The sequence below is a fragment of the Homo sapiens genome, chromosome 4 (genome assembly GCF_000001405.40).
Source record: "Homo sapiens chromosome 4, GRCh38.p14 Primary Assembly".
In the NCBI taxonomy this organism is placed as follows: Eukaryota; Metazoa; Chordata; class Mammalia; order Primates; family Hominidae; genus Homo; species Homo sapiens.
This window is the reverse complement of record NC_000004.12, coordinates 37,290,948-37,305,306: the sequence shown is the minus strand read 5'-3', so window position 1 is coordinate 37,305,306 and position 14,359 is coordinate 37,290,948. Positions and strand designations below refer to the sequence as shown.

General features: G+C 37.0%; 1 protein-coding gene across 1 annotated transcript in view, besides 2 other annotated features; it reads right to left on the bottom strand.

Moving 5' to 3' along the window:
* NWD2 (NACHT and WD repeat domain containing 2) overlaps positions 1 to 14,359 on the bottom strand; it is a 204,721-nt gene that overhangs the window by 144,157 nt on the left and 46,205 nt on the right. The window lies entirely within an intron of this gene.
* Positions 5,548 to 5,717: an enhancer, noted in NCBI's record as "experimental_78969 CRE fragment used in MPRA reporter constructs". NCBI's record gives its function as "activates a minimal promoter by MPRAs in K562 erythroleukemia cells, with activity observed for both the introgressed and non-introgressed 4:37301297 or rs12650229 variant alleles {active_cell/tissue: K562}" and the evidence as "EXISTENCE:reporter gene assay evidence [ECO:0000049][PMID:34662402]".
* Position 5,632: a transcriptional cis regulatory region, noted in NCBI's record as "Neanderthal adaptively introgressed variant 4:37301297 (GRCh37/hg19 assembly coordinates) or rs12650229 in the experimental_78969 CRE". NCBI's record gives its function as "modulates activity of the experimental_78969 enhancer by MPRAs in K562 erythroleukemia cells {active_cell/tissue: K562}" and the evidence as "EXISTENCE:reporter gene assay evidence [ECO:0000049][PMID:34662402]".

Below are 14,359 nucleotides of genomic sequence, written 5' to 3'. Positions count from 1 at the left end.
TTTCAGGGACCTTGGCAGCAACCCTTCCCATCACAGGCCTGGAGACCTAGAAGGGAAAAATAGTTTCGTGGCCTGAAACAGGTTCCCTGTGCTGTGTGCAGCTTAGGTACTTGGCGCCATGTGTCCCAACCACTGCAGCCATGGCTGAAAGGGGCCAACATAGAGCTCAGGCCGTGGCTTCACAGGGTGCAAACCCCAAGCATTGGCAACTTCCACGTAGCGTTGAGCCTGCGAGTGCCCAGAAGTCAAGAACTGGGGTTTGAGAACCTCCACCTAGATTTCAGAGGATGTATGGAAATGCCTGGATGTCCAGGAAGAAGTTTGCTGCAGGAGTGGGGCCCTCATGGAGAACCTCTACTAGGGCAGTGAGGAAGGGAAGTGTGGTATTGAAGCCCCCGCACACTGTCCGTGCCGGGGCACTGCCTAGTGGAGCTGTGAGAAGAGAGCCACCATCCTCCAGCCCCCAGAATTGTAGACCCACCAACAGCTTATACTGGGCACCTGGAAATGCCACAGACACTCAACAGTAGCCCTTGAGAGCAGCCATGCAGAGCCACAGCGGTGCAACTGCCCAAGGCCTTGGGAGTCCACCCCTTGCATCGGTGTGGCCTGGGGTCAAAGATTATTTTGGGGCTTTAAGATTTAATGACTGCCCTGCTGGGTTTCAGACTTGCATGAGGCCTGTAGCCGCTTTGTTTTGGCCAATTTCTCCCTTTTGGAATGGGAGCATTTACCCAATGCCTGTACCCCCACTGTATCCCAGAAGTGACTAACTTGTTTTTTATTTTACAGGCTTATAGGTGGAAGAGACTTGCCTTGTCTCAGAGTTTGTACTCAGACATTTGAATTAATGCTGAAATGAATAAAGACTTGGGGGACTGCTGAGAAAGTATGATTGTATTTTGCAATGTGAGAAGGACATGAGATTTGGGAAGGACCGGGGTAGAATAATATGGTTTGGCTCTGTGTCTCCACCCAAATCTCATATCAAATTGTAATTGCTAGTATTGGAGGAGGGGCCTTGTGGAAGGTGATTGAATAATGGGGGCAAACTTCCCCCTTGCTGTTCTCATGAGATTTGGTTGTTTGAAAGTGTGTAGCACTTCTCTCTCTCTTCTTCCTTTTCCAGCCATGTATGAAGTGCCTGCTTTCCCTTTGCCTTCCACCATGACTGTAAGTTTTCTGAGTCCTCCAAGCCATGCCTCCTGTACAGCCTACAGAACTGTGAACCACTTAAAACTTTTTCCTTTATAAATTACCCAGTCTCAGGTAGTTCTTTACAGCAATGCAAGAACAGACTAATACAGATGCCTACTTTCAGAACTCTTATTCAGCACAGAACTAAAAGTCCTAGTCAGAGGCATTAGACAAGATAAAAAATAAAAGGCATGCACATTGGAAAGTAAGAAATGAAACTGTCCCTGTTTGCAGATAACATAGTCTTATATATAGAAAAACTAAAAGACAAAAAACTCTATTAAATAACTCTTAAAATTGATAAACCAATTTGGTAACATTGTAGGATACAAAATCAACATATAAAAATCAGTAGTGTTTCTATACACCAAAACGAACTAGCTGAAAAAGAAATCAATCGCATTTGTAATTGTAACAAAAAATAATAGAACACCTAGGAATTTAACCAAAAATGTGCAAGATCTCTACAATGAAAACTAGAAAACAATGATGAAAGAAATTGAAGAGGACATACAAAAATGAAAAAAAATCACGTTTTTGAATTGGAAGACTGTCAAAATTACTATACTACCTAATCTACAGATTCAATGTAATCTCTATCAAAATATCAATGACATTCTTCACAGAAATAAAAGAAATAACCCTAAAATTTATATGGAACCGTAACAAAAATCTCAAATAGCCAAAGCAACCCTGAACAAAAAGAGGAAAGCTGGACGCATCACACTACCTGAATTCAAATTATATACCACGAAGCTGTCGTAACCGAAACAGCATGATACTGGTATAAAAACAGAGAGATACACCGATGTAACAGAATTTCAGCTCCCAGAAATAAATCCATGTATTTACAGACAACTGTTTCTCAACAAAGGTGAACAGAACATACAATGGGGAAAGAACAGCCTCCTTCAAATAAATGGTATTGGGAAAAATGGATGTCCATATGCAGAAGACCAAACATTACACCCACATCTCTCACTATATACAAAAATCAACTCAAGATAGATTAAAATGTAAGACCTGAAACTATAAAACTACTAGAAGAAAACAAAAGGGAAATACTTAAGGACACTGATCTAAGCAAAGACTTTGTGGATATGACTTCTAAAGCCCAGGTAACAAAGCAAAAATGACAAATGGATTAATATCAAACTATAAAGTGTCTTCACAGCACAAGAATAAATCAACAGAGTAAAGAGACTACCTGAAGAATCAGTGAAAATGTTTGTAAACTATTCATCCAACAAGAGATTAATATTTAGAATACACAAGGAACTCAACAGCCAAAACAACAAATAATCCAATTAAACAGTGGGCAAATGAGCTGAATAGACATTTCTCAAAAGAAGATATATAAATGGTCAACAGGTATATAAAAGATGTTTAACATCACTAATCATCAGGGAAATACAAATCAAAACCACAGTGAGACATTTATCTCACCCCAGTTAAAATGGCTATTATCAAAAAATACAAAAAATAAAAAAAATGCTGGTGAGAATGCAGAGAAAAAGAACTCTTGTACATTGTTTATGGAATGTAAATTAGTGTAATCATTATGGAAAACGGTGTGGAGGTTTCTCAAAAAAACTGAAAATAGAACTAACATATAATCCAGCAATCCCACTACTGGGATTTATCCAAAGAAAAGGAAATCAGAATATCAGAGAGGTATCTGCACTTCCATGTTCACTGAAACATTATTCACAATACTCAAGATAAGGAATCAACTCAAGAGTCCATCAACAGATTAATGGATAAAGAAATTATGGTAAATATACTCAATAGAATACTATTTGGCCATCAAAATGAATAAAATTCTGTCATTCGTGGCAACATGAGTGAGCCTGGAGGACATTATAATAGGTGAGATAGGTCAGGCACAGAAGGATAAAGAATGCATGTTCACACTCACATGTGGGAGCTACAAAAGTTGAGCTCATAAAAATAGAGAGTAGAATTGTGGATACTAGATTCTGGGAAGAGTGGATGGTAAGGGAATAAAGAGAGGCTGGTTAACAAACACGGAATTACAGCTAGATAGGATAATTTCTAGCGTTTTATAGTACTTTAGGGAGACTATAGTTAACAATAATTTATTGTGTATTTTCAAGCAAGTTAGGAGAGGATTTCCCAAAACAAAGAATTGTATTGGGATATGCTAATTACCTTGATTCAGTCATTACACTTTCTAACAATGTACTTTCTAACAATGCCTTGATCTATTCCAGCAAACAAAGTTCTTAAACTATACGCACACACATAAAAATCAAGACAACATATGTGAGATCCAGCTCAAACAAAAGAACCAGCTGAATCACATACAAAATTATCTGAAATACAAAATTATCTTAAATATAAAATAAGTACTTAATCTGTTTAAAGGAATAAAAGTAAGCATTGAATAAAAGAATACAAATAAGAAACCACAAAAGCCAATAACGCAGATTTGAAAAAGAAATTAATAAAACCTCTAGAAATAAAAAAACATTAAAATTAAAATTGAATGGAATGCTTAAATCACTGAAAAAAAGGGTAAAGAGCAAGACAGATTTGAATAAATTATACAGAATTCATCACACCAAGAGAAAGAAATGAAAAATATGAGTATATGAGATAGGCATAATATATGGAGACAATCTAATATACATCTTTTGAATTCCAGAAAAAAAATGGACAAAAGAGATAAAGTAGAGGCAGTATTTGAAGAAATGATGGCTAAATATTTCCCAGATTTGTTGAAAGATTCCAGTCTTCAGATTCAGGGAAGTCAACAAATTCCAGGCACAATGAATATAAAGCACTCCATATAAATACTGAAATTCCATTTCATAGTGAAAATGAAGAATACTAAAAACAACAGATCTTAGAAACAGCCAGAGAAAAAATACAGATTACCTACAACATGACAATTATATTTTCAGCTGACTTTGCAACAGCATTAGAAGCCAGAAAGACTATAGATTATCTTCATAATGCTGAGAGAAAAATCCGCTGTCTGGAATAACCAACAAAATTATGTGTCAAAAAAAGGTCAAAAGAGGACATTTTTAGAAAAACAAAAAGTGAGTTTACTGCACTCTTCCTTTAGAAGGTAGAAGAAAAATTATCTCAAATGCAATGTGTGAAATGCAAAAACTGGTAGTGTGCAAACAAACTGGTAAATACATAGCTAAGCCTAAGTATTAGCTGCATAAAATAATAATTTATGTCTTAAATAATATGTCTAATTTGTGGAGTTAAAAAGGACAGAAGTAAAATTCTAAATTAAGCATGTAAATCAGGAGTGATGAGAATTAAAACCTCCTAAATTCCTTATGTTTTTCAGAAAATAATATTTTGAGTATTTTTATTCTTTGTTGGGTGTACTTATTAAAATTTCTAGGGTAGTCATTCAACTAGATATTAATGTTACAACCATGCATGCTATTGAAGAAACTTATATACTTTTTGTGCTTTATTATGACAAAACAAGATGTTTCTCTTTCTGAAATAGGTCATATTTTGTACAAAATAATATATAAGTAAATAAAGTTACTGCAAAATTGGTGACTTCAGAGTTTTCAGCTTCTTTTTTAATTTTGGGAAGAAAAAAGCCCCTTCAAAGTAGCATAATTCATCTGTAATTCTTTTTCATGTTAAAGTCTATTTAAAGAAAACCCCGTATGATCTATATGAGGCCTTTCAGATCTACTAATTCGAATAATATATAATTGGAACTTTACACTCCACTAGCATGAGTTCACTTACACAGTTCTTAACAAGGGCTTGCCACGTTAAAATTTATTGATTGCTACAGCGTTGCTTCCAAAACAAAAGTGACACAAGGCACAGTCCTGCCCTCAGTCTCATGATATAATCGGGCAAGATGGCACTATTTCCAATAATGCATAGCAAGGTCTGAAACAGAGTATAAGCAAAGTGCTACTGAAGCACAGAGAGAGGAACAATTAGTTTTGTCCGATGATCAGGAAGAGTTTCTCAGAGAAGACTACAATTAAGCTGGAACTTGACATATAAATAAAACTTTCCCAGGTATGAAGGAGGAGATATCTTCTAGAAGACATAGCAGCATGAACAAAGCGGGAAGGCTTGAAAAGGACACGATGTATTTGAGGAAGTAGCACAGTTTGTTACAGTATAGTGTATGGGGGTTAAATTATAATTAGGCTATCAGTTTCACAAGTCTTTTGAGGTTTCTCTGTGTGCTGAAAATTTGGGGGTTTAACAGCAATTGTTTCTCATAATCAAATGGAAAAGAAAGCATATATACAGAAGAACATACAGAACAAAAGCAATTCATCATACATTTCAGTTTACAAGAAAAACATCTTTCATCAAGTGTCCAAAATGCAGCTGTCCTTTCATTGAGAGGGGATTACTTGTACCTGGTTCACCTGCCCACATTAGAGTAATTCACCAATCAGCAAGTCCTTCACTTACAGAGGCTCCACCCTGCACCCAACACTCTGCTAGGTGTTAAAGAATCAAAGGAAAGATTGCTGGGTCCCCATTGCAAAGGAACTTGCATTTTCGACAGGGTCAAAACTGAGATACCTGTAGAAAACAGAAAATTATTCAATATTAGACAGGATGGAGTACATTCTAGATACAAGACTGATTTTGAGATCCAAATTGGGGAAGATTTTAGGGAAGTTATTACTTGAAAATGAGTAGAATTCAGATATAGAGTACAGCAGAAGAGCTTTCTCAATGCAGAAAAAGACATGGAGTTTATTACAGAAGGGGGTTGGGGACAGTGAGCGAAACTTCCTTGGAAAAGAGAAAAGTAAAGGGATCAAATTACTGATGGTCTTGAAAATGAGAAGTCTGAATTTGCCGAGGTGGGGCAGGGTGATGCCATGCTACAAGGGATCTTACAGAAAGGCACAGAGGGAAATGTTTTGTATTACAGATTTGAAAAAGAAGAAACTGGAATAGGGGGATTGCTTTGAACTAGCTGCAGTAATCCATATATGAGGTGAGGAGAACTTTACTGCAGTAGGAAAAGGAGGAATGCAAATGAGAGATTTGAAGAGAAATTGAGTGATAAATTAGATACACAGGAAAGAGACTCTGTAAGATGGCTGGTAATAGGAATTGAGTCTGAAGATTGTCTTGGTTAAATACAAAGTGTATGCCCTATGACTAGTTCACAAGCCATTATAAACCTCAGACAATGTCCATACAATCTATATCACCTAGATTAAATTAATATAAAGTACTTCACCCATAACTTTCCAGTAAAGCTTGGCTGTACTACCACTCTCATCATCATCATAACGGGGTGATTAACATTTTCTAATTTATAAAATAGCTGTTTCCCTTGCAACTAATAGGTATTTTGTGAGGAAATAGTTTAAGGCTATATAGGCTGTTGCTCCTCGAACTTTCATTGATGATCCTTGTCTGAATAAATTATTATGGTTGTCAAATAATGATTTTCTGTTTCCATAGTTTCTTTTACATCTATCACTTAGCAAATAATGAAGAGCTCTCTTTTCTCCTATCCATCTGCCCATCCACTCACCTCTCTACCCTACCCATCTACCTACCTATCTACCAACTTCAGTAGAGATGCCTACATTAATTACAAAGGAAAAATTAGCAATTAATAAGCAAAAAGAAGTCTCTGACTGCTATCAAATGGAAGCTGGCCTGGCTCTCGCACCTAGGTGATCGTGTTTAGCTGAATATAAATAATTGTATACCAGAACAAATATTAGACAAAGTCATTTTGTGATACTGATGAAATCAAATATAAGCAAGGCCACTCCATAATCAAACAGACATGGCAAAGACTTAGAATACTGCCCAAATCACAAACAAGGATCAAGCATGTGCCCTCTCATGGCACGAGTGATTGCTGCTGCCTTATCAGATATGGGCTCAGCTTTGCTCCATTCCTCTGACCCTCTTAGATAAAAATTATTAATATAACCAATCATGAAATTGTCCCTGTTTTCTGATAGCGCCCAATCTGGAATGAAACCACACTTCCTTGAAACTTCCCCCAAATAATCACACATAAGTCTAAACCCAACAATAAGTACCTCCTTTCTGAGCATCTCTTACTGAGACGCCCACCAGTTCCCTGTGGCGTGTTGCAGTGGCCAAGAAACATCTTTGTTCAACCTAGGGGTGTTCCTGGGGGTCTCTAGCTGGAACATCAATGATTTTGTGGTAGAGAATCTTGGAAAAAACCCTCTCAGCTAAGTGTTCAGTTAGCATTACTAGAAATGGAACAAACCAACTTCATGTTCCTCCTGATATGATGTACTCAGAACACAGCACCACTCTTGTAATGTTCCTGCCAAAAACAGCATAATCTAAATCTAATCATAAACAAACATCAAAGCACACTGAAGACATTCTACAAAATAACTGATGTATAGTCCTTAAAAACATCAATGTCAAGAAAGAAAAAGACAGACTGAGGAACTGTATTAAATTTACAATGGCTAGAGGAACATGACAGCTGAATGCAATACATGATCCAGTATTATTGGGACAACTGGTAGTTCCTAATAAATGTATAGATGGTAATACTGAATTCCTGTTCACTTCCTGATTTTGATATTTGTATTTTACTTATGTAAGAACATATACTTATTTTTAGAAAATATACATTGAAGCATTTAGCTGCAAAGGATATGAAGATATGTTAGAATTACATATAGTCAGTCTTCCATATCGGCAGGTTCCTTATTTACAGATTCAACCAATCACAGATAGAAAATATTTGGGAAAAAATACAATAAAAATAATACAAATAATACAGTATAACTATTTACACAGCATTTACATTGTATTAGGTAGTATAAGAAACCTAGAGATGATTTAAATTATATGGAAGAAGATGTGTAGGTTATATTCAAATATTATGCCATCTCATATAAGGGGGACTTGAGCATGTGCAAATTTTGGTGTCTGTGAGGGATCCTGGAATCAATCCCCCATGGATACAGAGGGACAACTGTATTCATAGATACTGTGTGTGATATACACACACACAGAGGAGTGGGGGATAAAGCAAATGTGGTAAAATGGGAACCTGGGTTAAGAGTGTACAGGAATTCTTTTTACTGTTCTGGAAACTTTTCTGTGAATCCCAAATTATAGTTGATTTTCATTATTTGCAGAACTTAAGTTCTATGAAGTTGCTGTGAACACTGGATTGTGAATACTGAACCATCACTCCTGGGAGAAATACAGGGCTAGGTTCCTGTGAGCCTTTGATCACATTTTCTTTGTTAATTTTTTATTTTAATAGCTTTTAGGGTACAAGTGGTTTTTTGTTACATGGGTGAATTATATATTGATGAATTCTGAGACTTTTGGTGCATGAGTCACCCAAGTAGTATACATTGTACCTAATAGGTAGGCTTTTTTATCCCTAGGTCCCCATCCACTCTGGCTCCTGAGTCTGTAAGGTCTATTATATCACTCTGTATGTCTATGTACTCATAGCTTAGTTCCCACCTATAAGTGGGAACATACGATCTTTGGGTTTCTACTCCTGTGTTACTTCACTTAGAATACTGGCCTCCAGCTCCATCCAAGTTGCTGCAAAAGACATTATTTCGTTATTTTCTATGGCTGAGTGGTATTCCGTGGTGTATATATGCCACGTTTTCTTTATCCACTCATCAGCTGATGGGCACTTGGATTGGTTCCACATCTTCACAATTGTGAACTGTGCTGCCATCAATGTACATGATCACAATATTTGTATCGAGCAATCAATAACATAACCTTGTTTATGTGTGTTTCTGTTTAAAGGCACCTTATTTAATACATATTGTTGATTCATTAACATTGGCCAACGGCACTATAACTCATGCCTGAATGCAGCTTATCTAGCACGTGTATTTTCTCCCGAAGGCACCCCACAGCCTTAGGAACACTAGCACTTCAGCACTAAGCTTGGGGGCCACGTGAAATGGTGAAATCTATTTTAAAAAACAGAAAAGGAAGAACAATGTGGCATGAAATAGACTTAGGAAAGGGCACCTGTTTGTGGTATGAGAGCTGAAACAAGAAGCAGAGCATTGCCTTGTTCCACTCAGTTGGGAATGTGTGCATGTCAGGGGACTCAAATTTTACATTGCTCAGTGCATGTCTGTGAACAACCCTGAAGGCACCATGAGTATTGATTTTGGCTACAAATAAATTTTAGTAAGTGGACAAACGTACAAATGTTGAATCTGTGAATAATGGGGATTGACTGTACATCCAAATAAAACATTAAGGAAATATACTTTCAGCGTGAAGACTAGAAAAATGGTGGTACAGTAATGAATTACAGTCATTGGATAAGGGACTTGTCCTGAAAGGGAAAATGCTATTTAAGATATTATAGGTTGGGAAGCTTGTCACAGAAATGCCTTAGACACATTTGGAAACCCAGGAATTGATGAAGGCCAAGTCAGGGTAGGAGACGAAGTTATGGGAATCACTGGTAACCTAGTAGATAGATGATTCCACAAGGACAAAGGAATAGCCAGATTTTGTGCCTAACCTATAAGACAAATGATGATTAAATACTTATAGGGAAGACAGACAGAATCAAGGCTAATGAATCAAGAATGGGCCAGAGTGAAACTTGCTTTGATTTTGGCAAAGATTATTAAGATACACACACGCTGAGCTAAGGCGCAGCATGAGATAGGTGTCAATGAGATGATTTCAACTACAAATGAAGAAAAGTTAACTCTGTAAGATATTTCCACACAGAATGAGCTCCTTTAAAGAGATAGATTCACAACTATTGGAGGTGTTCAAACACAAAGTACACGATCATTTACTGATATTGAAACATCTAAGGAATACTTTGATTGGATAATCTTCAAAAACTTTTCTGATTCTTGTGAAAAAATAAAAATAAAAACTTGGGACACCAACACACTCTGACAAAAAAAAAACTAAGCTGAAAGCTGAGTCATGCAAGAAGCTGCCTTACCTTTTCCTCTTAAGCAGAGAGCTATAGAGAAAAGGTCAATTATCTCCACAAGTAGCTGTTCTGTGTTCACCTTATTTTATGCTCAGCACCAGATGAATACATAATCGACGATTCCCCTGCCTGCTCCTTTTCTCCTGTAACATGTGGATTCAGTAATGTGACCATACCCTCCCTCCTTTCCCTCTAGCCCACTATTCCACTTTAAATATTGAAGCCCTCAAACATCGAAGTCATCTTTGGAGAAGGGTGCAGACCACAAACTGTTTCTGTGGTTCTGTGTTTCTTTCAGATGTGATCTTTATTTTGGCAAAATAAACTCCTAATTGATTGAGATTCGTCTCAGATACATTTGGTTTAAACTCTAATATTCTATGACTAATTTTTGCTTACTCTTTGATGTCTTAATAAATGATTTCTGTGTATTTCATCAATCATGAAGCAAGTCTGACCTTATCCTTAAAAATAGTCAAATCTATCGAATTAAGGTTTTTTGTTTTCCAAAAAATTTTTGTTACAGACAAAACCATAGTCCATTTCACTGGAATATCTACAACATAGAGAAGGCGGAAGCTACATCTTCTTTGTCAATGTTTTCCACCTTTTCCCTTAGTTTGCTGCTGCTATCTTATTAATAAGCAGGAGGTGAGATGGACATTTGGGGTCTGCAATGTATCCTTCTTAGCTGCTCCTATGGCCTCTGGCAAGTCAGCATGTAGTCCTACAGGGGCGGGAAATGAGAACATGGGTGGGGCTTGAGGGTGTGGGGCATATAAAAGCAGACATTCCTGAGAATTCCACACTAACTTGTGGCCTTTGGTATTAAGGATTTCTCTGAAATAACCTACAGTCAACTGCCAATTAGTGGCACATTAAAGATAAAAATGTCCAGACAGTAACCCTAATTCTCAAACGATGTGTACGTACTGTTTCAATGGTGTAGGGAAGGCCTGGGAACATTAGAGGCTGTTACAACAAGATTGGAAGCTCTCACATTTGTCTTATTGCATCAACTCTGTGGTTCCCTCCCATTATATTCCCTCATCTGACAACAAAGAAAGTCTTCCTTTCCAGAAAGGAGTAGGGGGGTGGGGACTTCCTGTGATTTGTGGAACACCTCTTGTCTGTCTTCTTACTATAGCCTATAGTGAGCCTTACCTATAACGCTTTAATTATGCTTTTTACTAGTTTAGAATAGAGAAGAATGTTCAGTGATAGGTCTCCTCTGAATTTTAAAGTCCAAATCTTTTTTTTTTTTTTTTAAATGCAGTGTGCCCTGGGCTTAACATTTGTTAAGTACTACCCAGTACTACATAGCTTGCAATAGCTGGTAGGAATAACAATAGCTGAAGGCATACTCCACATTATTAAGAAAACACTTTAAATCCTTAACGTCATTAGTAAACACATATATTCCTTCTTCGTATAACTTCCTTTCATTATACTGTCAACACAATCCTCTAAATACAAATGCCATCCACCATCTGGTTTCATAAAAACCAAAATGTACGAACCAATTTTAAGGGAAAATTAATATACTGTATGTGGCTAGGGAAAAAGTTAATTAAACTATTTTGGCAACATATAAAATATCAAAGTGGCAAACATTAATATGTTATAGTTGATATTTATCAATGGATTGTGAAGACACAAAATAGGTATAAAATAATTTCCATAATAACTGCTTTTGGAAACAAGCATGGTTTTGATTTGCTTTATACCACTAATGAATTAAATTACTAGCAAATATGTTTGCAACTTGCCATGTACAAAGTACTGTCCTAGGAGATATGGAGGATATGAGTAATCTGCCCACCCCTGCAGCTAGGCAGGTTAACATCTAACTGGCAAATAGACAATGACACAAATACCTATAAATCAGGAGAGCACGTGATGCTAAAAGTTAAGTCTTTTTTAATGGAGAAAGAGAAAGTTGAAGAGGTTGAGATTGATTTTGACTAATTGATTCCATGTGGAAATTAAGGGTGAAAAAACAACAAATATTGGCTTATTTAAATAAAACATTTTGTTGAAAAAGAAAGTGGTAACATTAGTCCCAGTACCAGCCCGTTTACAATTGACTGGACATTGTCCAGTGGATGACATTTTCAGAAAATAGATTTAATCAGTTTAATAGGTATAGACATTTTAGAGCAGAGGCCCCCAACCCCCAGGTCACGAACTGGTACTGGTCCGTGGCCTGTTAGGAACCAGGCTGCACAGCAGGAGGTGAGCGGTGGGCAAGCAGGCATTACAGCCTGAGCTCTACCTCCTGTCAAATCAGTGGTGGCATTAGATTCTCAAAGAAGTGCGAACCCTATGGTGAACTGGGCGTGTGCGGGATCCGGGATGCACACTCTTTAAGAGAACCTAATGCCTGATGATCTGAGGTGGAACAGTTCCATCCCAAATCCAACCCCCTGCCACTCCCTGATCCATGGAAAAGTTGTTGTCCATGAAACCAGTGGGGACCAATGCTTTAGAGAATGCAATTTTGATCTCCACATATGTCAGGATTCCACAATATCTTGATACCTGTTTGAATGGGATCCTGGGGCAGGAGGTGAGCTGGGTAAAGTTCTTAGCCCATTCAGGCCGCTATAACACAATATCTTATGGTGGGGATATTTATAAGTAATAGAAACTTATTTCTCACAGTTCTGGAAACGGGGAAGTCCAAGATCAAGGCACTGAAGATTTGGTATCTGATGAGGTCACTCTCCGCTTCATAGATGGTGCCTCCTGCTGCGTCCTCACATGAAGGGGCCCAAGGGGCTAGAGCAGTCCCTTCAACCTTTTTTCATAAGGTCACTAATCCCATTCATGAAGCCTCTGTTCTCATGACTTAATCATCCCCTCAAGGCCTCACTTCTTAATACTATCACATTTTCAACATATAAATTTTGGGAGGTTGCATTCAGATCATAGCAAACTCATTGGTCCCAGTTTCCTGCATGGATCTTTGGAGCGCCTAGGAATTTGCCCTGACAACGGATCGCCTAAGGGAATGCACCTCACAAGTGGGGCCAAGGGGAGAAATGTACTGAGGCAAGGCCCTTGAAAATATGTGAGGATCATTAAGTCAGTTTTATTAACTTTCTAAAAAAACTTAATGATGTGTGGCCCTGTTCAGATAATTAACCCTCTCAAAGTGATCTTCACTTCAGGAGCTTCCATATCTGAGTCAGCTTACATTCAGACAATATTTCTTATATGTTCAAAAAAATGACAAATTGCAGAGAAGAGTTTAAGGCATGGCCCATACCAAGGGTATATAATGCATGGTGCCTTAATTTTAATGTTTTGGGGTAAGTTTAAATATTTTGATTATCATATATTTGTGGATGTATATAACTGGTCTTATTGAAAAGGTGAGTTATCTCTCATATGAAAAACACTGATACAGTTTTACACAGATATAGCAAAACAAAAATTTTAGTAACACTATCCTCTCTAATGCATTTATAAATAATATATTAATATTATTATCAGTGTGAACTTCTAAATACTACTGACAGTAAAGGCTACGAAGGTTTCCTTTTAATCCATTAAAATATATTTTCACTTTACTCTTTCCCAAAGTATCAATATTGAATGTTATAAAAATACTTTTAGCATTTGCTTTCAAATAAAATATTCAATACTCAATGCTTTCATGGAATATTTTCCCTTAAAAATCCATTATACTAAAAGTAAATATCTGTATGGAACCTACTAGACTGATGTAATTAAAATTAAATTTACAAAAAGGTAATGGAGATTATATCAGCAATAGCATGCAATTCAATGCAGCAGCTGAATCACCGTAGATTTTTTTCCCTATTTAATCTTATCTCGGATGAACAAAAAGGTTAAGTCCCACAGCAATCCTTAGATTAGGCTATTATTTTTGTTATGGCTACTTAGTCGTTTTATTACAAACTATTAAATAACGCAAGAAAATCAAAGAGGTACAAAGGTAAGAAGTTGGCTACATTTATTTTTAAACTGTTGATCTAACTACTCAGAGATGACCTGTTAGTGAGTGTGGTTATCACTGAATGTCCCGGGCTGATTTTAGACTTCTGAAGGAAAAGGTTGACTTCAGACCTTTGGTCAAAGGATTCCCATGATTCCTTTTAGGTTTGCTCTCAGGGGTTTAAGACTACACAGAGCTGCAAACTTTAAGAAGTCCCATTAAACCAAAACCTTGTCATATCA